The sequence below is a fragment of the Homo sapiens genome, chromosome 10, assembly GCF_000001405.40.
Source record: "Homo sapiens chromosome 10, GRCh38.p14 Primary Assembly".
Lineage (NCBI taxonomy): Eukaryota > Metazoa > Chordata > Mammalia > Primates > Hominidae > Homo > Homo sapiens.
This window is the reverse complement of record NC_000010.11, coordinates 19,703,916-19,729,734: the sequence shown is the minus strand read 5'-3', so window position 1 is coordinate 19,729,734 and position 25,819 is coordinate 19,703,916. Positions and strand designations below refer to the sequence as shown.

Genomic DNA, 25,819 nt, shown 5'->3' with positions numbered 1-25,819 from the left:
AAAAAAAAAAAAAGAATTAATAGACTTATTAGAAGACACGCAGCCCTGGACTACTTGGTGACAACTGATGAAGAAAAAATGTCCATCGTAGGAACAAAAAAAAGTAACCAAGAACTAAATACACACACACACACACACACACGAAAGGATCCTATACACACATGTGTACACACACACACACATAAGAAAGGATCCTATACATGCATGTGTACACACACACACACACACAATGGAGAATGGAAGACCAATTCCAGGATGATTGTTTTAAGAGCTTAATGACACGAGTAACAAATATATAATGTATGATAATTGTATAACACAATGTATAATGTATGTATAATGTATATTTTTTGCCTATTCAGGATACAGTGAAAATTAATGTTTGTCAGTAATATAATTCTAAATCCCAAAATAAAATGTAGCAAGAAGGGGGCTCTTACTGATTTGATTTCTGAAAACAAATTGCCATAGGCATAACTGCCTATTGTCATCTACCAAACCACATGGTCCTTTTCAAAGAAACTGCAGCATCAGTGAGCCTAACAGTCTAATCTAGCTAATTATGTTTGGCTGGCAATACATTGTCCCTGTGGATTCAGTGTCTTTTAAGCTTCCTGATCTCCACTGGCTTAAATATACAATAGATTAAATGTTTCACCCTCACCGCGGGTACATTTTGCTTATTGATGAATAGGGCCATATGCATCTATTTTGTGGGTTATTATTGAAAAAAGTCTGAATTGAGTCAACAAATATCTGTTAATTCCTTAAGCACTAATTGAATGCTTATTAGTTGCTCTGATTAATTTGAGTAAGTTGTGTTTGACTCTTTGCCTTTACTTTATTCAAGACTAGTCTATGTTAAATTCTCGGAGTAGTAATCTCAGTACATAGCATGGTTAGTGCATGAACTGAGCCAGGGATGATCTTGGAGTTGAGATTGGGTAGGGAGTGAAGTGTAGTTTTGAAATGCATCAAAATACCAAAGCAGGAAAAATTGGACATGGAAGTAGGGATGATCAAAACATAATAGAAATTAGGAACTAAGTAAAGATAAGACAGACACTGACACCAAGAGCTCAGAAAAATTAAGAGGCTGAAATCAGGCATGAAATCAGGAAGCAGGAGGAAACCCAAACCACAGGGCTAGACAGGACAGATGGTCAAAGCCTGAGCATACAACCAGGAGCTGAAGGGACCAGCTTGGCCGTCAGTTGCAAGGGTGTGAGGCAGAAGCAACACAAAAGATCTTGATATGAAGCAATTATTTTTGGTCTTAAACTGCTGGGACTCCAGATGACCCAGACCACGGTCAGCAGGCAGAAGCCAGGTAAATTTATATAATTCTCAGCTCTGTTAATTCAATTATTGAAGCTACTTGTCTTCTGAAAGGGTTTTAAGTCTGAAATAATTTTCTATTAAAATGAAAAAACATTTGAAGGTGTCTGGCCTTCAAGATTTGGGTAACTACAAAGAAGGAAGATGATATTTAAGAGTAAGGATGTGGAGTTGTAATAAAAGAAGAAAGGGTTTCAGTGTGAGTATTGGAAGGTGAGGAATGGCAAATCCTTCCTACTTCAACTTTTGTTTTTTAGTAGTCTCAAATTGCTTTTATTTTTCCTAGATTAAAGATATATCTCCCATTCTTGAAAATCCCTGGACTATTAGACTTAAATTTTAATGTCTTTCCTATTTATTTATAAGGTAAACTATTACACCGTCCACAGATTCTTCCATGAAGGAAATTGCTAGTGTCACTCTATACATTTAGTATTTCAAGTTCAATATTATGATTTTCCATTTTCATCAACTATGTCAATTTGACATTCAAACACAGGCAATTTTACTTAAAATGGTGGATCCTTACATGAGGGAAATAAAATGTTTGTTTCATTATAAAGTTTCCTGCCAGTTCTGAAACTCAATGGTGTAATGATGAGTCTTCATCAGGCCAAAAAAAAAAAAATGCAATGTTTGACTTACTGTATTTGTCAATATGCCGGTAGCTCTTAAGCAGTTGATTTTTTTTCCCCCAATGAATAAGTGAGTTGTAAGAATTGAGGTTCTAAAGAATATAACCACCTCTAGGAATAATGATGATAAAGGAACTGACTTAGAAATTTTGAGTAGAGGAAAGGAAGTTGCATGGATCATATAAGTTTTTCTCCCTTATCATGCATTCATATAAATTATTATTAAGTTTATCTTATATCCATTACGTGCAGATACTGTGCGAAGTGGCATTCTGAATGTGTGACAAGAGACCTAGATCAATGCAGAACTAAGATAATTCTGATGGCAGTTTCCAATTTTAATTTAGCGAGCATATTTATACTTCTAATGGAATTCACTTATTAACTGACAACATTGTTTTAGTGTTGATAAAAGCATGGAAGTGTTTATAATAGTCTGAAACTATTACAAATGGGAAAGGAGAAAAAAAGAATAAAACAAAAACCAATCTATGTTACATCCAGTAAACATGACTTCGAGGTGAATATTTTGTATTTTTATTTTTAACAGCTTTATGGAGCTATAAATCACATGCCATACAATTCACAAACTTAAAGTACACAATTCAATGGTTTTCAGTAATGTTACTTTTATTAATTTTTAATTTTTAAAACAGTGGTATATATCACATAAAATTTGCCATTTTAACCATTTCAAGTATACAATTCAATGCCATTAATTCCACTCACAGTGTTGTGCTACCATTACCACTATTTCCAAAATGTTTTTATAACTCTGAACTGAAGCTCCATGGCCAGTGAGCATTAACACCCCATTCCCCTCCAACCAATCCCAGGTAAATTCTGATTTACCTTCTGTCTTTATGAGACTCGAGGTACCTCACCTAAGTGGAATCATACAGTATTTGTCCTTTTGTGTTTGGCTTATTTCACTTAGCATAATGTTTTCAAGATTCATCCATATTGTAGTATGTATCAGAAGTTTAATCATTTTTATTGCTGAATAATATTCCCTTGCATGTATATGTCACATTTTGTTTATTCATTCACCTGTTGATGGAAATTTGGGTAGTTTCCATCTTTTCACTATTGTGAATACTGCTATGGGGAACATTGCTGCATGAATATCTGTTTAAGTCTCTATTTTGATTCTTCGAGGTATATAACTAGGAGTTGAATTGATAGAACACACGGTAACTCTTTTTTAACTTTTGAGGAACTGCCAAACTGTTTTTGATAGTGCTGCACCATCTTACATTCCCACCAACAATGTGTGAGGGTTTCTATTTCTCCTCATCCTCATCAACACTTGTTATTTTCAGTTTTTAAATTATTATTATTATTGCTATCTCAGTGGATGTGAATTGGTATGTAATTGTGGTACTGATTTTCATTTCCCTAATGACTAGTGATGTTGAACATCTTTTTATGTTCAACTATATGTAATCTTCTTTGAAGAAATGACTATTCTAGTCCTTTGCCCATTTTGAAATTGGGTTGTCTTTTTGTTCTTAAGTTGTATGGATTTTTATATATTCTGGATATTAAACTTTTATCAGATACGTACTTTTGAATATTTTCTACCATTTTGTAGATTGTCTTTTCACTTTCTTGATAATGTCTTTTGTTGCACAAAAGTTTTTGATTTTGATAAAGTCCAATTTACTTATTTATTTTTTGTTGTTGCTTGTGCTTTTGGTGTCATATTTAAGAAAGAATCAATTTCCAAATCCAAGATCATGAAGATTTACCACTATGTTTTCTTTTAAATGCATTATGGCTTTTGCTCTTACATGTAGCTCCTTGATCCATTTTGAGCTAATTTCTGTATGTGGTGTGAAGTAGGGGGTCCATCTGCATTCTTTTGCATTGCAAAATCCAGTTGTCCCAATATCATCTACTGAAGAGACTATTTGATCCCCATTGGATGGACTTGGCATTGTTGTCAAGCATCAATTCATGACAGATGTATAGGATTATATTTGAATTTTCAATTCAGTTCAATTCAATTGATCTATATGTCTGTTCTCATGCCTCATGCCGATACCACACTGTTTTGTTTACTGTACTTTTGTAGTAAATTCTGAAATTTGGAAGTTTGAGTTCTCCAACATTGTTTTGGCTATTTGGTACCCTTGCAATTTATAAATTTGAGAAGAGGTTTTTCACTTTTGCAAAAATGGCTGTTGGAATTTTCGATAGAGATTGCCTTGAATCTGCAGGTTGCTGTATTAGTCTGTTCTCATGCTGCTGTGAAGAAATACCTGAGCCTGGGTAATTTATAAAGGAAAGAGGTTTAATTGACTCACAGTTCCACAGGCCTGGGGAGGCCTCAGGTAACTTACAATCATGGCAGAAGGGGAAGCAAATATGCCCTTCTTCACACAGTGGCAGCCAGAAGTGCAGAGCAAAAGCCGGAAAAGCCCCGTCTAAAGCCATCAGACCTTGTGAGAACTTACTCACTATCCTGAGAATAGCAGCATGAGGGTAACCACCCCCATGCTTAGATTACCTCCCACTAGGTCCCTCCCACGGCTTGTGGGGATTATGGAAACTAGAATTCAAGATGAGATTTGGGTGGGGACATGGAGCCAAACCATATGAGTTGCTTTAGTTAGTATTAACGTCTCGACAATATTGTCCTCCTTTCCATGAACTTAGTGTGTCATTCCATTTAGTTAGGTCTTATTTAATTTCTTTCAATAATGCTTTGTGATTTTAAGTGTATAAATCTTTCACCTCATTGGTTAAATTTATTCCCAGGTATTTTATTCTTTTAGATGCTATTGTCAACAGAATTGCCTTCAAGATTCCTTTTCTGATTGTTCATTGCTGGTATGTAGTAATACAACTGATTTTTAAGTGTTGCTCTTATACCTTGTAACTTCTCTGAATTTGTTTATTTGCTCTAGTAGCTTTCTTGTGGATTCTTTGAGATTGCTTATATATAGTATCATGCCATTTATGAATACTGAAGTTTATGTCTTCTTTTCCAATTTGAATGCGTTTTACTTCCTTTTTTCCCATTTCCTCTGGCAAAAGTTTATTTTTGATAACTACATTTATCCCTAGCTTAGTGGGGCTATAAAACTTCCTTAATGTAAACAATTTAAAGCTAGTGTATAGGAAAATTATGATGGCAATGTTGGACAGTTTCAGGGTGTAGTCTCATTGCCACTTAAAGTGAACATCTTTGGACTAGATAAGTGAATAAACCTTTATCTGGGTTGAAAGGAAACAAAGGTGACAGTGAGACTAGCTGTCACTCCGAATGCTGAAGTGTCTAGGACAGAGTGACAGCACAATGTTCCTGCTGAGAGGCCTGTCCTTCAAAATGAACATCTTTTTACACACATTGCAAGTTTGTTAATTTTTAAAATACACTTTTATAATTTGTTTCAGTGAGTGTTTTCTATTAACTTTATTTACTAAATTGATTGCCATTTTTGGTGATAAATGGGTGATTTAATTTCTTTATGTTAACTACAGATGTGTGCTTCCCCCTCCCGCCAATTTACCAGTAAGTCACTTGGTGTGTCTGTAAAACTGCTCAGGCTGCTTAGTGAAACTCACCGGACACCTAGTTTCCATTACCATCTCATGGGAGTAACACTGTTACAATAGTTCATATTTAAAATTAGGTTTAGAAAATATTCAAAGAAAAATGAGCTCAAAAGCTTAAATTTTTTTATTTTTTATTTTTAGAGACAGAGTCTCACTCTGTTGTCCAGGCTTGTATACAGTGGTGTGATCATAGCTCACTGCAGCCTTGAACTCCTGGGCCCAAGCGATCCTCCTGCCTCAGCCCCCTGAGTTGCTGGGACTATAGGTGCATGCCAACACACCTGGCTAATTTTAAAACTGCTCAAGCTGCTTAGTGAAATTCACCAAACACCTAGTTTCTACTACTATCTCACGGGAGTAATACTCTTGCAACATGTTCATATTTAAAAGTAGACTTAGAAAATACTCAAAGAAAACTTAGCTCAAAAGTTCAAATTTTTTTATTTTTTATTTTTAGAGACACATTCTCACTCTGTTGCCTAGGCTGGTTTACAGTGGTGTGATCATAGCTCACTGCAGCCTTGAACTCCTGGGCCCAAGCGATCCTCCTGCCTTGGTCTCCTGAGTTGCTGGGACTATAGGTGCATGCCAACACACCCGGCTAATTTTTTTAATTTTTTGTAGAGATGGGGTCTTGCTATATTGTCCAGTCTGGTCTTGAACTCAAAACTCCTGACCTCAAGCAATCCTCTCATCTTGGTCTCCTAAAGCACTGGGATTATGGGTGTGAGCCACTTTGCCTGACCTGAGCTCAAAACTTTAGCACAGATTTTTTTAAGTGAAAGGGAATACCATTTGTGAGGGTCATGGATGATTATTTCTGTCGTATTTTGGTGGATTGTGTTATAAAACTTCAGTGTCAAAACCTGTCCACTCGAAAGTATGAAGAATCATACTGTCTGAAATTAGGATAATTACAATGCAGCTGTCAAATGATGTTAATGGATAAACATAATAATTTATCTATCAAAAGATATTTTCCCTGTATTTCGTGTGTGGAGGCATTGGTTCTCATGCTTCCATGAGTGAAATGATTTCTAAACACTGTTTCTAAGATGTCAGACAATATCCTAAAATCCGAGAAACAGTCATCATGAGTTAAGTGCCTGAAAGGAATTGATGCTCTCCAATGTGGTAACTCACCCCTTAAGATGGTGGAAAGAGAATTTTTAAACGTTACTTATCATTTTTCTTACTTATTGACATTCACCCAACATGTCTAGGACACATACTACGTACTAAACATTGCACTGGGTCCTAGACTTACTAAGTTGATTAGTATATGGCTCCTACCTCTAGAGCTTTTCAGAGGGTGGCAACTGTTGGTTTCTGTCTCTTAGATGAAATGACATGTTTATAAAAATGCTTATCACAAGTAGGTGCCCACCGATAGTTGAGTGCTATTCTCTTCACCTCCTTTCCTTATGCTTTCCTCCTTTTGTCATTTACATCTTCTTTTAGACTTCCTGCTTCTTTCTCCTGACCCCCAAATTTGTGAAATGAAAGGACATTGGTATAAAGAACAATAAGGAGGTGTCAAAATTAATAATCACTGTAGTATTTTAAATTTTTTCCACCTTTTTTTTTTTTTTTTTTTTTTTTTTTTTAGAGACATGGTCTTGCTCTGTCACCTAGGCCGTAATACAGTGGCGTGATCCTAGCTCACAGCAGCCTCCAACTCCTGGGCTCAAGAGATCCTCCTGCCTCAGCCTTCTGACTAGCTGGGACTACAGGAATGTGCTACCACACCCAGCTAATTTTTTAATTTTTTGCAGAGATGACATCTCACTATATTGCCCAGGCTGGTCTTGAACTTCTAGCCTCAAGCAATCCTCCCACCTCAGCCTCTGAACGTACTGGAATTACAGGTATGAGCCACCATGCCTAGCATTACTTTTGATTTAAAAAAATAGATTAATTTAGAGCCTAGCAGGAACCCTTGCAATCATCTTGTCTCTGTCTTCTATTACAGATGGAGCAACTGAGATTCTTCCCCAACTAGACTATAAGTTCTCTGAGGGATAAGGAACATGTCTGGTTTCCTCATCTCTCTGTCACAGCACCCTGTGAATGCCTAGAAGACAGTAAGAATCAACTGAATGTTTGTAGAAAGAATAACGATACTTACCTATAGTCTAAAGGTTTAGTGATGAAATGAAGTCCACTAACTTCTCTCTGCTTACTTCCACCCTCAATAACATATTTCCTCAAACCCCACAGAGGAAAGACAATTCATTTTTTACTATTGTTTAATAGAGCCATGTTTGTATGTAGCTTCCTGTTCCGCTTAGCCCAAGACATTAAGTGGGTCAGGAGTAAACTCTGCCCTCTGTTTTTTTCCATTCCTTTGTCACCTGCTCAAGTGGCAGCCCAGAGCCGCTTGGCGGCTTCCCTGAAGATGAGCAGAGTGCAGTAGATTAGGCATGGCCTTTCTATCTATTTCTACTATGGAGAAGCTGAAAAAGCTATATGGCTGGAAAAAAATCACCTTGGTACTAATTTGCTATTTTACAATATTTGAAAATAAAGACCTGTGGTCTTCCTATGTATTTCTTTTTAAACAATGAGGGGTATGGAACATCTATGAATAAACATCAAGGTCTTCAAGTGAATTTTCAGGTTGTGAAGTATGTGATTTGTTACTACTAGGGAGAGATGTTTCCTAACCATAAAAATGAATGTGACTTTTTTTTTTTAAAGGATGCAACTAAATTATAAAAGACAATCATTTCACTGGTGGGAATAGAATTCACTTATTCTGAGTCATGCCTATTGCATTACATTTTGTTTAGCATAATTAATGGTGAATCTGAGTTGTCCCACAGAAGTAAACCCTAATTCTCCTCTCCCTACTTCTACCTCTCTCATTTTAAAGTCTTCAATTAGTTTTTCCCAAATGTTTCCAGTCTTAAGATTTACGGAATTTGAAGCCTTTCCCAAAGATCCAATCTTCCAGATAAAAGGAAAATATAATATAGCATTCCAATAAAAATAAGATATTCTGGGGTTTCCATTTTTAATTATACCAATTTTTAATGTTCATTAAATATATTTCCCTCTGCCAAGAAGAGATCTTTTTAGAAATGTTTGTTTCTTAACCAGTGTACTGTTTTCTTTTTTTTTAACTTCATCTCATCCTAAAAATCAATGAGCAATGTTCTTTTATTTTTTTTTCTTCCCTGGCTTTATAACCTAAGGAAATAGGTTTTCTGGTATGTTTACTTGTTCATTTTTAACTTGCAGTAATCATGAGAGATTGGTGCCCTGTGTTTCCTATGTAACTCACAGTCTCAAATGATTCACATGTATCATCTTTCTTTTCTCAAAACCTTAAAGTGTTATTTTATACCTGGTCTCTGATCATTTACCGTCCATTTTTTAGCCTGTTTGAACAGACTGTTTTTTCAAGGAAAGTAATCATAAATTTTAATTTTAGGCAATATTTTGTCCTTTTTGTAATAAAGACAGATTTATAGCATTTTATAAAAAAAATAGCACAGTAAAAGAACATAAAACAAATACGAAGTAGGAAGTTGGAGAAGGGGAATCTGAGAACAGGAAAATAGAATTGAGGCAAAGGTAACAAGACGGAGAGTTCGTGAAATGGATATCATCGGAGTATGTATATTTATTAGAGGCAGGATGGAACTTAGACTTTAAGATTCTAGAAATCAAATTTAAGCAGGACAATCAATTACACAGGCTATAATTTCAAAAAGAAACAAACAAACCAGATGCTTAGAAGCACTTCTCTAACTCAGGAGATAAAGCATTTATTTTGTGGATCCTGTTACTGTAATCTAATGTAACAAAGTAACAAGTCCCTAACCACATTATTTTAGAAAATCAGCAAAGGGTTACACTAGGTTGTTTCAACTAATACTTTTCAAACACCAGGCTGAAACGATGCCAAGATGTGCTTCAGTAAAAGGTACCCAGAAAGTGTTGGCAAGGAGGGAGGAGAGATTTTATGGAGATCTTGAAGCACAACAACGCCTTAGAGAATTTGATTTTGGGGGCATTTTCATATGTTCATGTTTATCATAAAAAAGTCAACACCAAGCTTATAATTTATAGTCAACACCAAGCTTATAATTTACATCATTGCAGTGTAACACATTAGATCTGTTATAAAAGTCTACAGGTAGAAAAAAATTGCACAGAGTCATAAGGTAATAGAAGAAATAAGTTGAGTCTATGAAGTCAACCTATTCTCATTGAGTGTACACTCCCATAAAATACCATGTTATCTGACAACTGCTAATAAAAAGAGAGAGAGAGAGAAATTATAAGAGAATGTAAATAGTAAACTATCTAATGGTCTCTATTCCTGTCAAGATGATTTTTTTTTTTTAAATAAACAATCTGGAGGAAAAGGAAGAAAGAAAAGAAGCCAATTTGAAAAAGCAAGGATACATTAACGAGAAATGTCCATGAACTCACATTTTCATTTTCAAGTCCTTAAGGAACAAACTGAACCAAATGTTTGGGTGAAAAAGTTCAGAAAGAACTGCATTTGCAAACACAACCAGAAATGCCACAAAACGCAGAGGAAAAGATTCATCACCCAGGGTCATAAAACCAAACAATTGGAACACCAAATTTTGCCAAACTCATTCACATGATACAGCAGCTGCTTTATTTTTCTTCCACTCTTTTCAGGCAGGAAGTAAATATGCTGACCACAAAAGCCGTCACTGTTTAAGCACTCTTGCTGTGGCAGAGCATTTTAATGGGAACATGCCCAGGAATATGGAGGCAATTAGTAGGAATAAAACTGACCCAGGTTTCTGTAACTTAATCTTAAAGAAAACCCAGGCTGCCAATGGGAGCTCCGTCTTCACTCCACTTCACAAGTGCAGTGTTAGCAAATTCACAACCACCTAATAGAAACCAGATGCCTAGCAGGAAAGTCCCTTTAGAAATATATTTGATAGCATATATATATATATATATATATATATATATATATATGTATGTATGTGTATATATATATATATATGTATGTATATATATATATATGTATGTATATATATATATATAATTTGGACAGTGTCTTGCTCTGCTGCCCAGGTTGGAGTGCAGTCGTGGGATCATAGTTTGACCTCCTGGACTCACGCAATCCTCCCTACTCAGCCTCTTGGGTATCTAGCCCTACAGCCACGTACCGCCATGACCAGCTAATTTTTTTTTTAAATTGTTCTGCCGAGATGAGCTCTTGCTGTGTTGCCTCGAGCTCCAAGACTCAAGCAATCCTCCTGCCTTGGCCTCACAAAGCACTGGGATTAAAGGCATGAGCCACCATGCCTGGCCTAACAGCACATTTTAAAAACCCATCTCGGCCTAGTAAAATTACTGGAGTCAGTCTTTAGGTAATAATTAGAGAGAAAGACAAAAATATATATAGAAAAAGGTTCATCACAAATTAGAAAAATTAGATGCAAGCTCAATGTCTAATAATAGGAGAATGGTTAAATGACGATGCATGTACTTGACACAGCATTATTCAACCTTTTCAAGTCATGCTTTAAAGAATGTTTAGTGGTACAGGGCTGTGATATGGTTTGGATGTCTGTCCCCTTCAAATCTCATGATGAAATGCGATCCCTAATATTGGAGGTAGAGCCTGGTGGGACCTGACTGGATCATGGGGGCAGATCCCCAGGAAAGGCTTAGCGCCACATCGCCTAGGTGATGAGTGAGTTCTTGCGTTGAGTTCATGTGATTTGGTTGTTTAAAAGTGTGTGGGACCTCCTTCCGGTCTCTTTTGCTCTTGCTCTTGCTACGTGATGTGCTTGCTCCTGCTTTGCCTTCTGCCATTAGTAAAAGCTCCCTGATTCCTCCACAGGAGCTGAGTAGATGCTGGCACCAAGCTTCTTACGCAGCTTGCAGAATTGTGAGCCAACTAAGCCCCTTTTCTTTATAAATTATCCAGCCTCAGCCTCAGGTATTGCTGCTGCTGCTGCTGCTGTTGCTTCTTCTTCTTCTTCTTCCTCTTCTTCTTCGTCTTCTTTTTCCTTTCTTCCTCTTCCTCTTTTCCTCTTCCTCTTCTTCCTCTTCCTCTTCTTCCTCTTCTTCTTCTTCTTCTTCCTCTTCCTCTTCTTCTTCTTCTACTTATTCCTCTCCTTCTTCTTCTTCCTCTTCTTCTTCCTCTTCTTCTTCCTCTTTATTTATTTATTTATTTATTTATTTATTTAGGTAGAATCTCTCTGGAGTGCAGTGGCGCAATATTGGCTCACTGCAGCCTCCACCTCCTGGGTCCAAATGATTCTCATGTCTCAGCCTCCCAAGTAGCTGAAATTACAAGTGTGCACCACCATGCCTGACTAATTTTTGTATTTTTAGTAGAAACAGGGTTTTGCCATGTAGGCCAGGCTGGTCTTAAACTCCTGACCTCAAGTGTTTCACCAGTCTTGGCCTACCAAAGTGCTGAGATTGTAGGTGTGAGCCACTGCACCCAGCCCCAGCCTCAGGTATTTCTTTATAGCAACCCAAAAATGGCCTAACACAGGCTGTGGTTTTCAAAGTGTGGGCTCTGGACTTCTGGAGGTTCTAAGACACCTTCCAAGGATCTACAAATTCAAAACTAATTTTCGCATTAATAATAAAACACATGGGTAAAATATTCACTGAAATTTCAAGCTAAATTAATGAATTTTTATTATAACAGACTTTTTACTGGGATGACATTTACACTGATGGCCCAGATGTTATGGAGGGGAAAACTGCTGGTATCTTAGCACTAGTTCTTAGCACCAGTTAAAGCCATGGTGCCAAATTATACACTGTCTTCTTCATCACCATCTGCTGCCAGTAAAGTCAGTTATACCTCAAAATGACTTTGATAAATCCTCAAAAATTATTAATCATATTAACTTTCAAGTCATTAGTACAAGTCATTTTTATATTCTGTGAAATATGCATATAAAGCATCTTTGTGGAATACTGAAGCACGTGTTGTCTTATGGAAAAGCACTGAGATTGAGTTGCATGCTAAATGAGCCACTTTTTCATCTCGGAGCAGAACTTGTATTTGAAAGAATTACTGACAGAAAAACTATGGTTCTTTACACTAGGGCATTTGGCAGACATTTTCATAAAAACAAGTGAAGCAAGGCTCTTAAATCAAATAAAACACCTGATAGTATCTATTGCTGATGAGAAACTTGAAACATCCAAAGAAAAATGAGAATTTTGAAAAATCAGTATTGTCCACCATGAGTAGGACAAGTTCCCCATACTTTAAATACTTGATTGATGAGGGGTTTCTTTTTTGTTTTGTTTTTTGTTTTTTTGCTATATTGCAGAATGAAATGGGTCAGCATCTGACATACTGCATAAATCACTGAACCAATATTTTCTAAATGTAACATGCATGATGGTACAAAATCACACATAGGTAAGTGATCCATTCAAAGTGAAAAATAGACCAGTGAATTTTTAATGTAACAGTTCAAAAATTCTATGGATGTGGTTTCAGATTCTGCATTACAACTGCATTTTAAGAAACTACCTCACGTAAAGCTTTGGTGTAAAAGAAAAGTATCAATAATTATCTCAAAAGCTAGTAAAATACACCTTCTGTATTTTTCCATTCTTGCATTGCTATGATGAAATACCTGAGACTGGGTAATTTATAAAGAAAAGAGGTTTGATTGGCTCACAGTTCCGCAGGCTATACAGGAAGCATAGTGGCTTCTGTTTCTGGGGATGCCTGAGGAAATATACAGTCAGGTGGAAGCAGGCATGTCTTCCATGGCTGGGGCAGGAGCAAGAGAGAGTTGGGGCAGGTGCCACACAGTTTTAAACAACCAGATCTCACAATAACTCACTCACTATCAGTAGAACAGCACTGGGGGGGATGGTGCTAATCCATTAATGAAAACTCCACCCCCATGATTCAATCACCTCCCAGCAGGCTCCACCTCCAACAATGGGGATTACAATTTGAGCTGAAGTTTGGTGGGGACACAGATCCAAACCATACCACCTCCTTTTAAAAAATACGTATCTGTGTGAGGTTGAATGTGTTTAATATATTTCAACAAATCAAGATAATGGCTTTAATGAAGAAGTAGACATAAGAATCCCACACTAGCCCTCACTAAAGGTTTGTTTTAGTTTGAGTAGCGATATGATTTGGATGTTTTGTCCCCTTCAAGTCTCATGTTGAAATGTGACCTCCAATGTTGGAAAGTGGGCCTACTGTTGAAATGTGACCTCCAATGTTGGAAAGTGGGCCTACTGGGAGGTGTTTGGGCCATGGGGGCAGATCCCCCATGAAGGGCTTAGTGCTGCCCTTGCAGTAATGAGTGAGTTCTCACTCTAGGAATCCATGAGAGGTCTAGTTGTTTACAAGAGCATGGCACCTCCTCCCTCTCTCTCTCAATCACTCTTGTCATGTGATGCACCAGTTTCCCCTTTGCCTTCCGCCATGATTGTAAGTTGCCTGAGGCCTCACCATAAGCAGATGCCGACATCATGCTGTTTGTACAGCCTGCAGAACCGCCAGCCAAACAAATCTCTTTTCTTTATAAATTACCCACCCTCAGGTATTTCTTTATAGCAGTCCAAATGGAGTAATACAAGTAGCTTTGTTCTACTAAGCACTGGGGGTTCAAATATGAGTAAATACTTATTTACTTGGCTAACATATACTTTTCTCCAATAAATTTTTGCTAGTCACCTATTCTGGAAATATTTTTTCACTCACTTTCTTCAACAAATGTGATACCTCAAAGCCCCACAGTTGGTAAAGGTCATTTTTAAACAGAATGTTACATTTTATATATAGATAAATATTATATATATACTTTAAATATACAAATATGTTTTCATAATAAGTTATAATGGATATCTTGTCATTTTAAAATATATTAATAAATATAATTGTAAATATTTCTTAGTTTAGTTTCTTATATGGTAAGTCTTGATAGGTATAACCCACCTTAAGAAAAGTCTTTGGGGTCTTCAATAAGTTTTAAAGGTGTGATGGTATGTTGAGACCAAAATGTTTGAGAATGGTCAGTATAGGGAAATAAGGAGCAATAAATTTCGTAGCAATTTCAATTTTAAGAATGGTCAGTATAGGGAAATAAGGAGCAATAAATTTCGTAGCAATTTCAATTTTAAGAGGAAAAGAGTGCACGTACATATTTATACAGTGATAAAAGTTCAAAAGAAGATACATCAAAATGTTAACAGTATGTAACTCTGGGTGATGAGATTAACTAACATTTTAAATTATTTTAAACCCATGTAGTTGGATTTCCCAAGTTCTATTTATGGGCCTGTTGTGCACTGGAATCTCAGGGTAGGGGTGATAGTTTCACAATTTGGAAAGGTCACAAGCTGTGTCCCCACCTTGAGCTCCCCATCTCCACCCTGCCCACACACCTTGTAGGCCATTTGCCTAAATAAAAGATGCGATCCGCATGCCTCATGATCTTCACGTTCCCTGTTTTGCTGATTCCCGTCTTTTATCATCTCTTCTCCTAGCCCTGCAGCACTACTCAACACTTTTATGGATGTGTCACATTGATACGGGGAGGGGGACAGGGAAGTGCTGGGTAGAAAAGGCAGGTCCCTGGTGAGGGCTCTACCCCCAGGACTGTGCCCACGGACGTAGGTGAGGACAAGCATTTTTGTTTTCTTGCCCAAATGTTGCATTTCCCAGACCATCCTGGCCTGTCAAGCCCCCATCCTGTGCGTATAAAAACCCCGAGACCCTAGCAGACAGACATGCAGGCAGCTGGACGTCGAGAGGAACACTCTGGTGGAAGAACACCCAAACAGACATCAGCAGAAGCCGGTAGACGCTGGCAGGCTGACCAGCTGAACGATGCGGAGTTTGGCCAGGGTGGTTGGAGGGGAGCCCAGCCACTGGGCAGCCCTACTCCGGAGGAAAACCACTTTCCCAATCCATTCCCTTCTGGCTCCCCCGTCTTCTGAGAGCTACCACCACTCAATAAAAACCCTTGCAGCCATCCTCCAAGCCCACGTGTGATCCAATTTTTCCAGTACACCAAGGCAAGAATCCAGGAAACAGAAAGCCCTCTGTCTTTGCCATGAGGCAGAGGGTCTAATGGAGCTGAATAACACAAGCTGCCTACAGACAGCTAAACTGAAAGAGCACACTATAACACACGCCCACTGAGACGCTGTAAAAACTCAACCCTAGACACTGCCATGGGGTCGGATCCCCACAACTTGCCTGTCTGCGTGCTCCCCCTAGAGGTTTGGGCAGCGGGGCATCGACGGAGCAAGCCCCACACACCCATTGCATGCTCTGCAAGAGCAATAAAGGGACTTTTCCCATTTCAACATTTTTCTTAACTCTTGGATTTGCTTTTGAATCCCTTTCTCATTGACCAGAACCTTTGCTAACTCCAGAACCAGACTGACCACTTCTCTGCACGTCACTGTGCATTGTGCATTTTACCATGAGGGTGTCTAGTACTTTCTCTCCTTGCAATAAAATATTTTTCCAACTAGATTGCTCTATATGCAAACTCACTCTACTTTCCTTATTAAATTCTCTCAGACATATAATCTCTTGGGTTGAAAATGAATTGCAGTACTGCTGTCTTTGTGATTGCCCTTAGCAACCACCTAGCAACTTGCTTCTTAAATATTTTTCAGACAATTAAAAGTTGACAACCTATGTAAGAATCTGTCCAGAAAAATGGACTTAGTGGCATCTATTTATTTACATTCATGTCTCTTGAAGATTAACTTCCCATGGGCAGAGCCAAAGTCTTTTATTTTCCAACTTGCTTAGGAAACATTATTTGAGCTCCAACTATATGCCTTATCCCCTACCACAGAGCTACTCAGAGTGTGGTTTATGTATGGTTTTGGTCTTATCTGGATATGGTTCCAGGATCAGATAAGTATAAGAACAGAGAATAAATGCTTAGAAACATTCATAGCAATTTGACAGAGTAATTTTATGTCTGTTGATGATAAGAATAAGAAAGTTGGACTAATATTTTATGTGTCTTTTTATTTCCTGTTTCTTTTTTTAATGTGTGGCTTTAAGGAGTAGAGAGTTTAATAGGCAAGAAAGAAGGAAGAAGGTAGAAGAAAGAAGCTCCCCTGTACAGAGACAGAGGGAGGGGGTCTCCTCCAAAGCTGAAAGAGGAACCCCCCCCTTCATTTCTGGTTTCTAAGAATTATTTTTATTATATTTTACAAAACATTGGAGTATAATGGATTGGAAACAAAACAAAAAACAAAAAAACAAAAACAGAGATATTCCTTCAACACACAGCATTTGAGTGGCTCTGTTCTATTGACAGGGATATGAGTAAATATTGACTTACATGGTTGACTTCTATTTTTCATTCAACATGCTTTTGCTGGCTATCTCTTCTAAAAATAGTCTTTTCTCTTCCTTTCCCCTTATGAATGTGATATCTCCGAGTTTCCACAGTTGGAAAGGTCCAGGTACTGTCTAACCTTCTCTGATCATAAGGAAATATTTTTTCCCTACAAATGGCTCTATATGAAAACTCACCATAATTTTTTATTGGGTTCTTTGAGACACATAATCTGTTTGATTGAAAACTAATTCAATGTTGAAGTTAATTATCAGCTTTCATGATTTCCCTTAGCAATCACCTAGCAGCTTCCTTTTTCCTATTTTTTAGACAATTTAAACTTAACAGCCTTATGTTAAGAATCTGTCTAGAAAAATGGTCTTATTTCATTATGACTCCTGCATATCCACAAATTCCTTTACATATATCTCATTTTGGGTTTATTAATACATTTAGTTAAACTGTTCTGAATCTATGAACAATTTCAGCTTTTAGAACAATGGAAACATTGCAAAAAGCAATAAAACTGCATTTTCTTGTAGTTATTTTAAAATAACCTATTTAAAAACAAATTCTAGGCATACAAAGATACAATTAGGATTTTATTCGATTTCTTAAAAGTGATCTTTCTCTATTAAATTCCTAGTCAATTGCTCACCGTTTTTTCATCCCTGACCTGTGTTCTATTCACAGTAACCATGCAATTCTGAAGCTGACCCAAGTGTTCCATAGAGCTGATGTTTATAGTTTCTTTGACTAAACATAGAAATTGATATTTGTCTTATCTGAGTTCCTTTCTTGGGAAACCAACCATCAGGCCTCCAAGATAGTATCAAGGACCTGAAACTCATCAGACCACTGGATCTGGAAAATGAGATGTCAGACCCCTCACCCATTACAATTTTCCAACTGACCACCTGCCCCCTTTTGACCAGCTCCTCTTCCTTACCCCTCTCTAATTCCTGTTTTCCCACAGATGGTTATATTTCTTCCCTGCTACTCCCTGATTTTAATTGGTCAGGGAGATGGATTTGAGACTGATCTCCCATCTCCTTGGCTACAGAACCCCATTAAAACCTTCTTCCCTGGCAATACTTGTTGTCTCAGTGATTGGCTTTCTGTGTGGCAAGCAGCAGGGCCTAGACCAAACCCCTGGTGTTTCAGAAACAATTCCCTGTCACAGTCTGTGCCACACACATATACACAGGCTGTTCTATTTTTTGGGGTGCTCTTCTTTGACACTTGGTGGATTTCAATCCATGAGTCTAGGTTGGAGTGATACAGCACCTCTGCACCAACCCTTTCTCAACCTTCCATATTATCATTACCTTCAAACCAAAGACTGTCTCTCCTTTTCCAGTGCTTTCTATGAAGTGATTGTATATGTTTGATATATGCTTATTGCAGTATTGAGATTATTTGCTTTTATATATACCTCCTCCATTAGAGCATAAACTATTATTTATTCTTATATTCCTAGCCCCTAACACAGTGACTAGCAAATAATAGGTGCTTAACAGATGTTTGTCAAAAAATATAAGAATGAATTGCTAAGAGTTTCTGACTTATGTGTTTCTTTTTTGAAAAGATGAAAATCAACTGGTCTTTGAAGAACTTTGATTCATTAGTGAGCTTGAAAACCCAACACAATAAACAGATAGTGGAAGTGGAAGGAGTATCCCTAAGGATGCATTTAAGGAGAAATGATGTGACAGAAGATTTGAAAGCAAAAAAGAATCTATCAGGAAGATAAGAAAGCAATTATTAAACAAAAATTAAGAAGCCAATCGCCCTCCCAAGTTTCTACCCCTTGGTAACATTACTGATTCACACTAGTCAAAAGTGCTGAATAATTTGCTACATGCCATTGGAAAACTATATAACTTACTACTAATAAAACACCTCACTTCTTTTTACTGTCTTTCTTCATTTACCCAAGTCACCTCTTTTAAGAGCCATCTTTGATTTGCCTACAACACATTCATCTACACTGATTGCTTGTACAAGAAAACAATGCAACCCAGCAATGTCAGAGACTGAAAGGTTGTCTTCTTGCTGTGTAAGATTTACTGTGAATAGAGGGAGGATGTGGAAAAACGCTACAACCATTGCTCCAGGGACTATCTCTGCCAAACAGAGATATTATACTGACGAAATGATAATGGTGAAATAGCTGTCAGACCAAATAATTAGAATATGGAGCCGTAATACAGTAAAGTAGTCTTCATATATTTTATACAGTTTGTATTGTTCTATAGGTTGCTTGGAGTTTGTGTCCAGTGAAAATGGATTTAGAACAACCTGGGATACTTAGTAATAACAACGCACAAACATGTGTATACACACCAAAGAAGTGTGCATTATTCAATAAATGTGTTCCTGATATGTTGCATGTAAACTGATTTTGTATGGTCAAATAATATCTTAAATGATCAAGGAATTGATTAAAGAAATATGAGATATTAGTTACAAAAGGAAATCATTTTGAAATACACGTGAAATTTTAAATCATGTTTCATCAATAAATATGATTATTACTTTTTTAAAAAGGGTTCATCATGCACTCATTTCTCTAAAAAAAAAAATGCAAGAGTGATATCCTTGTTAGTAACATTGGTAAATACATTTTCAGCTGCCAGACACTGCTTTTCAGGAACTTAGGGGCAGAATCTGTCACAAATATAGACATCCAAATTAAATAGTCTAAAGTGAGGGCAATATTGGAATGACTGAGCACAGTCCCTCTGCTTGTTTTGTTTGGTTTGGTTTGGTTATTCAGATAGGGTTTTGCTTTGTTGCCCAGGCTGGAGTGCAGTGGTGTGATCATTGGCTCACTATAGTCTCCAACTCCTGGGCTCAAGTGATCTTCTCCCTCAGGTTCTGATTTTGCACCTGCCCAACACGTTATTTATAAAATTCCCACAATGTGTTAGGGAAGATGCAAGACGCACAATACTGTCCCTACTTTCCAGAGGTTTTTCAGCAAATACAATTACAACAAATGAGCCCCAGACTTTGTTGTTTTAACCATCAGTCAGTTGTGTAGTTAAGACCAGCACACAGATAAAGTTGCCGAGTGTCTCATCTAATCATGAATTGTAAATTAGGCATCTTTTTAATTTTTAAAATGAGCATTAACTCTTTCAGGGAGTTGTAATGCAAAGATAAGTGTAGAGCACTACTCAGTCAAATTACAGACACCCTAAGAACTGAAAGATTTAATGCCAAGTTACACTGCAACTAGGGAATACTTAGGACCCAAAAGAACTAAGCTCAATATTCTATTTAAATCATAGAATTTCAGACCTGGGAAAGGATCTTAAAATAATTTATTATTTCCCATTATGTTGTGGGTGTGAATGGCTCATAAAAGAGATTAACTTTGGGCAACACAAAGATTATAATTTCATAGTTAAATTTCATATTAAAGGTATAATGAAAAATAATACGTATTTAGACAGAATCTTGCTCTATCACCCAGGCTAGAGTGCAGTGGCCAATCTCCAATCTTAGCTCACTACAACCTTTGCCTCCTGGGTTCAAGCGATTCCCCTGCCTCAGGCCCCCAAGTAGCTGGTGCATGCCACCATGCCTGGCTAATTTTTGTATTTTTTTTTTTTTTTTTTTTTTTTTAGTACAGACGGGGTTTCACCATGTTAGCCAAGCTGGTCTTGAACTTCTGGCCTAAAGTGGTCTTCCCACCTTGGCCTCCCAAAGCACTGGGATTACAGGCATGAGCCACAGCACCCAGTCATAATGGAAATATTTTTAAATGGCACATCAAACCCATGACTTCATGAATATTTTTGCTTAGGAAAGAGCAAAGTAAAAAGACAATTTCAAAAAATGAAAAAAAAAAAAGGCTTATCCATGTTTCTGTGATACACTGTTTCCATTTCAAAATAAATGTGGCCCGCCAGATGTGGTGGCTCATGCCTGTAATCCCAGCACTTTGGGAGGCCGAGGCGGGCAGATCACCTGAAGTCAGGAGTTCCAAGACCATCTTGGCCAACATGGTTAAACCCCATCTCTACTAAAAACACAAAAATTAGCTGGGTGTGGTGGCGTGCGCCTGTAGTCCCAGGTACTCGGGAGGCTGAGGCAGGAGAATCGCTTGAACCTGGGAGGCGGAGGTTGTGGTGAGCCGAGATCGTGCCTCTGCACTCCAGCCTGGGTGACAATGCGAGGCTCTGTCTCAAAAAATAAATAAATAAAAATAAAAAATAAATGTGGCCAGGCACGGCGGCTCAGGCACATGATTCCAGTACTTTGGGAGGCCCCGGCAGGAGAATCACTTGAGCCCAGGAGTTTGAATCCAGTCTCAACAATACAGCAAGACCATGTCTGTACAAAAAAAAAAAAAAAAAAAAAATAGCTGGGAGTGTTGGGTACATGCCTCTGGTTGCAGCTATTAAGGAGGCTAAGATGGGAGAATTACTTGAGCCTGGGAGCTTGAGGCTGCAGTGAACCATGATTGTGCCCTTGCACTTTAGCATGGGCAGCAGAACAAGACCCTGTCTCAAAAAAAAAAAAAAAGAAAAAGAAAAAGAAAAAGAAGGTTAAAAAAAAAAACACATAACATCATATGTAGTCATGGTGTAAATTGTGGGGGTAGCCTATAAATGATAGAAGTTTGGATAAAACTGATTTATGCCAACTTCCTCATTTTATACATAAGAAAATATATATTATCAACATTATTTCCTTCCCTACTGCCCAAATAAGCTTTCCTCTTAAGTTTTCAGATCTCAGCATTATCAACTGTGCAGTCACCTAAGTATAATACTCTGGGATCATCTTTGATGCTTGCTTTTTTTTTTATTTTCTCACTTTCTGTATTAAATGAGAAAATATAAAAATTTAATTTTATAATTAAATTTTATATTAAAGGTATAATGAAAAATAATACATATTTAGACAGAATCTTGCTCTAACACCCAGGCTAGAGTGCAGTGGCCAATCTCCAATCTTAGCTCACTACAACATTTGCCTCCTGGGTTCAAGCGATTCTCCTGCCTCAGGCCCCCAAGTAGCTGGTGCATGCCACCATGCCTGGCCAATTTTTGTATTTTTTTTTTTTTTTTTTTTTTAGTACAGATGGGGTTTCACCATGTTAGCCAGGCTGGTCTTGAACTCCAGGCCTAAAGTGGTCTTCCCACCTTGGCCTCCCAAAGCACTGGGATTACAGGCATGAGCCACAGCACCCAGTCATAATGGAAATATTTTTAAATGGCACATCAAACCCATGACTTCAAACCCATGACTTGTATTAAGCAATCACTGCTGCTCAGGTTCAAGTCCTCATCATCTCTCATCTAACTCGTCTGAACAGGCTTATGCCCTCTAGACTGAAAATCTCTTTCTCAATCTTTTAAAATCTATTCTCACACTCTGCATTCTTCTCTTAAACACAGACATGCTCTTGTCTTCTTCTGTTTAGAGCACTTGCCTTGTTCGTATCAGTTAGGGCCCTAGCAGGAACCAGCTGACATACTTAAATTGGAAAATTTGAGTTTTTGATAAAGTGGCAATTTACGAAGGTGTGGTCAGAATAAAGTGAAATCATAAGTGATGTGCATTGGGCTGGGCTAAAAATATAAGGCCTGTTACCACCTTAAGCTGGAGGAAAGAAGAAGGAGAAGGAGGAGAAGGAGAAGAAGAAGGAGGAGAAGGAGGAAGAGAAGGAGGAGGAGGCAGAGGAGGAGGACGAAGAAGAAGAAAGGAGGATGAGGAGGAGAAGGAAGAAGAAGAAAGGAGGAGGAAAAGGAAGAAGAAGGGAGGAAGAGGAGGAGGAGAAGGGAGAAGTAGAAGAAAGGAGGAGGAGGAAGAAGAAGAAAGGAAGAGAAGGAGAAGGAGGAAGAGAAGAAGGAGGAGGAGGAGAAGGATGAGGAGGAAGAGGAGGAGGAAGGGTTACTGGAAGTTGTCAGTGTAAAGGTATGCTGACAGACCTGTCACTCCAAGTAGCCAGGTGGAATTAGGTTGCAGGAAGGAATCCAGGATTATGAATATCCAGTTCTCCCTATTTTTCCTGTCTCAAGGTGCTCCAGTGTGGTCAAACATAATGCAAATTCAGATGACAGGGAGCCCATTAATGAAATCCATAAAAGCCAGCTCCTAGATCCAACTGCTATCCTTCTCTGTCTAGTTGGTGGACAATGGGTGGAGGGTGGATCTGAGAGGGAGACAGGAGACAACACTCGGCCCTTTTTTTCCTTTTTAAACATAAATTACAGGTGGTGGCTCATACCTGTAATCCTAGCACTTTAGGAGGCCGAGGTGGGCAGATCACCTGAGGTCAGGAGTTTGAGACTAGCCTGGCCCATGTGGCAAAAATCCTGTCTCTACTAAAAATACAAAAATTAGCCAGGCGTGGTGGCAGGCACCTGTAATCCCACCTACAAGGGAGGCTGGGGAGACTGAGGCAGGAGAATCACTTGAACCCGGGGCCAAGGGGGGCGGGGGCAGAGGTTGCAGTGAGCTGAGATCACACCACTTCACTTCAATCCAGCCTCTAGCCTGGGCGAAAGAGCAAAAGTCCATCTCAAATAAAATAAAATAAATGAAAATAAAATAAATGAAAATCTCTTTTGTTAGCTTTCAAAGACCTTAACCACGTCTCTACAACACACTTTTCTAAGTGTAATCTGTTTCCCTTCCCAGAGTCTCTAGCTGTGTTCATCGTTTTTGAAACCACAAGTTTCTGCATTTTCTTTTATTTTCTTGAACTCCCTTTCCGCATCTCTACCAGATTTCTCCATCCTTCAGATCTCAATCCAAATGCTATCTCCTTTTACAGCCCTGTGAATTCATCCATCCAAATTGCTGGCTTTCCAGTATCTTTCAATACTGGAAGCTCTTCAATACTGCTGGCTCTTCAGTATCCAGTATGACCTTCAAGTCATATATCAAGGTGCACCTCTCATTTGACTCTGAACAAGGAGGTCTAACTTCATGAAATCTCTGGAAAAAGGGTAAGGGGTAGAATGTTTTCTGGGTGGAATAAATAATGACTGGCTTGAAAAAAATGCTTTCTTTCCTTTGAAGCCTCTCTTGTGGGCTTTTTTTTTTTTTTACTATTGCAGGACATGAGAACAAGGTTAGGGATTAAGGAAAAAATCAGAGATCAGGCTGTTTAGGCTTCTCTTTTAAAATAGAAAAGAAGAAAAAAGGAGGAGGAGGAGGAGGAATAGGTGGCGCAGGAGGAATAGAAAGAGGAGGAGGAGGAGGAGGAGGAATCATGCTGGTGGCCTAACCCTGTTTTTAAGGGTAAGATTTCAAAACCCTGTACTCAATTTCCCTTTTCTTGCTCAAAGTTAACATTTAGCAGGATTGTCAGAGCGTGGCCAATACATGCACAAGGGACTGGGATTTGGGAGTGAGGTTTGTGGATCTCAAACTGTGAGAACAGCTTTACTTCTTGTAGGCGAAGGCACATGTGGACACGTGGAGAGAGTAACGGTTTTGCCAGCATTATGAGATGACCTCGGTCACTGTGCTAGTGAAATTCCAGTTTGCTAAGGCTAAGTATTTCTGGGACCAGGACATGCTCACTCGTGACACTCTAGCTGCAAAAGCAGCTGTATGCCTTGAGGTATAGAGTAAGCAAGATTTTGATTTTTGCTAAGGATAAATATTCATCGGTGGGCGCAGACTAGGCCTATCTAGGGATGTCAGGCTTGGATAGCAGCTAAACTTCTGCCTTCAAGGATTCACATTATCATACAAATGTTTGCAGTGAGAAAGGGTCTGATAGAGAGAATATAATATTACAGGAACAGATATTTCATTTGGGGCCAGGGCCAACCATTCAAGAATCTCAAACAATATTCTGTACCTCTCACGGGGTTAGCTAGTCCAAGATTTGGGATCCTAATCACCTTTCTTTCTTTTTTTGTAGAGACAGGGTTTTGTCATGTTGCTGTAGCTAGTCTTGAACTCCTGGGTTCAAGTCACCTGCCTGCCTCGTTCTCCCAAAGTGCTGGGATTACAGGCATGAGCACCCACTCCTGGCCTCTTTCTTTCCTTATCAGAAATATAAACAAGCATCATTCTCTTGATCATTCTTTCCTTCCATTTTACCACCAAAGTATTTTGGTTTACATTTCTATCATAGCATTCATCAGAGTCAAACATATATTATAACTGAACATATTCAGATGAACCAGAAAGTGAGGGTATTATTTGCTGACACAAAGGAAGTCTTAATAAACGTTTGTGGAAGGGAATTATGAGACTTGCTCCACATCACTTTCACATCTTATAATTTCCTACTCAACCATCTTTCTACTATTGCATACTTACTGTGATGAACTGAACATTTGTGTCCCCCCAAATGTATATCTTGAAGCCCTATTAAAGCGACGGCATTAGGAGGTGGGGCCCTTGGAAGTAATTTGGCTTACATGAGGCCACGATGATGGCCCCCTCATGCCCTTATAAGAAGGCAAAGAGGCTCCAGATCTTTCTCTCTTTGCCATGTAATAATACAAAGGAAGGTGGCTGCCTGCAAGCCAGAGAGAGGGTCCTCACCAGAAACTGAATCTGCCAGTTCCTGGATCTTAGACTTTTTAGCCTCCAGAACTGTGAGACTTAAATGCTTGTTTATACCACCGAGTTTATGGTATTTTGTTGCAATAGCCCAAACTGACTTACGATTCTATGAAATTACTTAGAATACTTCCAGATCTAAACTTTTCAAACAACTTTTCACATGAATATATGTTATTTCTCAGCATAGCTAAAAAAAAATTCTGATTTTTAACTTTTGTTAGTTTATTTACTAAATTAGTACAATGCTTCAAGAGGATATGCCCCAATGCTGAATAGTAAACATTTATTGCAAATGTTTCCCCAGTCAAAGATACAGTCTAAAAAGGAAAGCAATGGGCATAGTCAGGCTGCTGGTAAGGTAAGAATAAACGGCTTACTGTTTATTTTTACCCTTTATTTTGCAATTTTTAT

General features: G+C 38.2%; 1 protein-coding gene and 1 long non-coding RNA gene across 9 annotated transcripts in view, besides 2 other annotated features; one reads left to right on the top strand and one right to left on the bottom strand.

Annotated features, from left to right (window-relative positions):
* The window catches only part of MALRD1 (MAM and LDL receptor class A domain containing 1), a 687,552-nt gene that overhangs the window by 4,744 nt on the left and 656,989 nt on the right, over positions 1-25,819 (bottom strand). The window lies entirely within an intron of this gene.
* On the top strand, positions 1,185-19,400 carry MALRD1-AS1 (MALRD1 antisense RNA 1). Its single transcript, NR_120646.1, has 5 exons — positions 1,185-1,330; positions 7,313-7,405; positions 7,510-7,621; positions 12,845-12,936; positions 18,447-19,400. It is a non-coding gene; the product is annotated as an MALRD1 antisense RNA 1 (long non-coding RNA).
* Positions 5,108-5,308: a silencer, noted in NCBI's record as "peak895 fragment used in MPRA reporter construct". NCBI's record gives its function as "represses an SCP1 promoter by STARR-seq MPRAs in K562 erythroleukemia cells {active_cell/tissue: K562}" and the evidence as "EXISTENCE:reporter gene assay evidence [ECO:0000049][PMID:32103011]".
* Positions 15,601-15,895: a silencer, noted in NCBI's record as "tiled region #1632; K562 Repressive non-DNase unmatched - State 13:Ctcf". NCBI's record gives its function as "represses a minimal TATA promoter and a strong SV40 promoter by Sharpr-MPRA in K562 cells {active_cell/tissue: K562}" and the evidence as "EXISTENCE:reporter gene assay evidence [ECO:0000049][PMID:27701403]".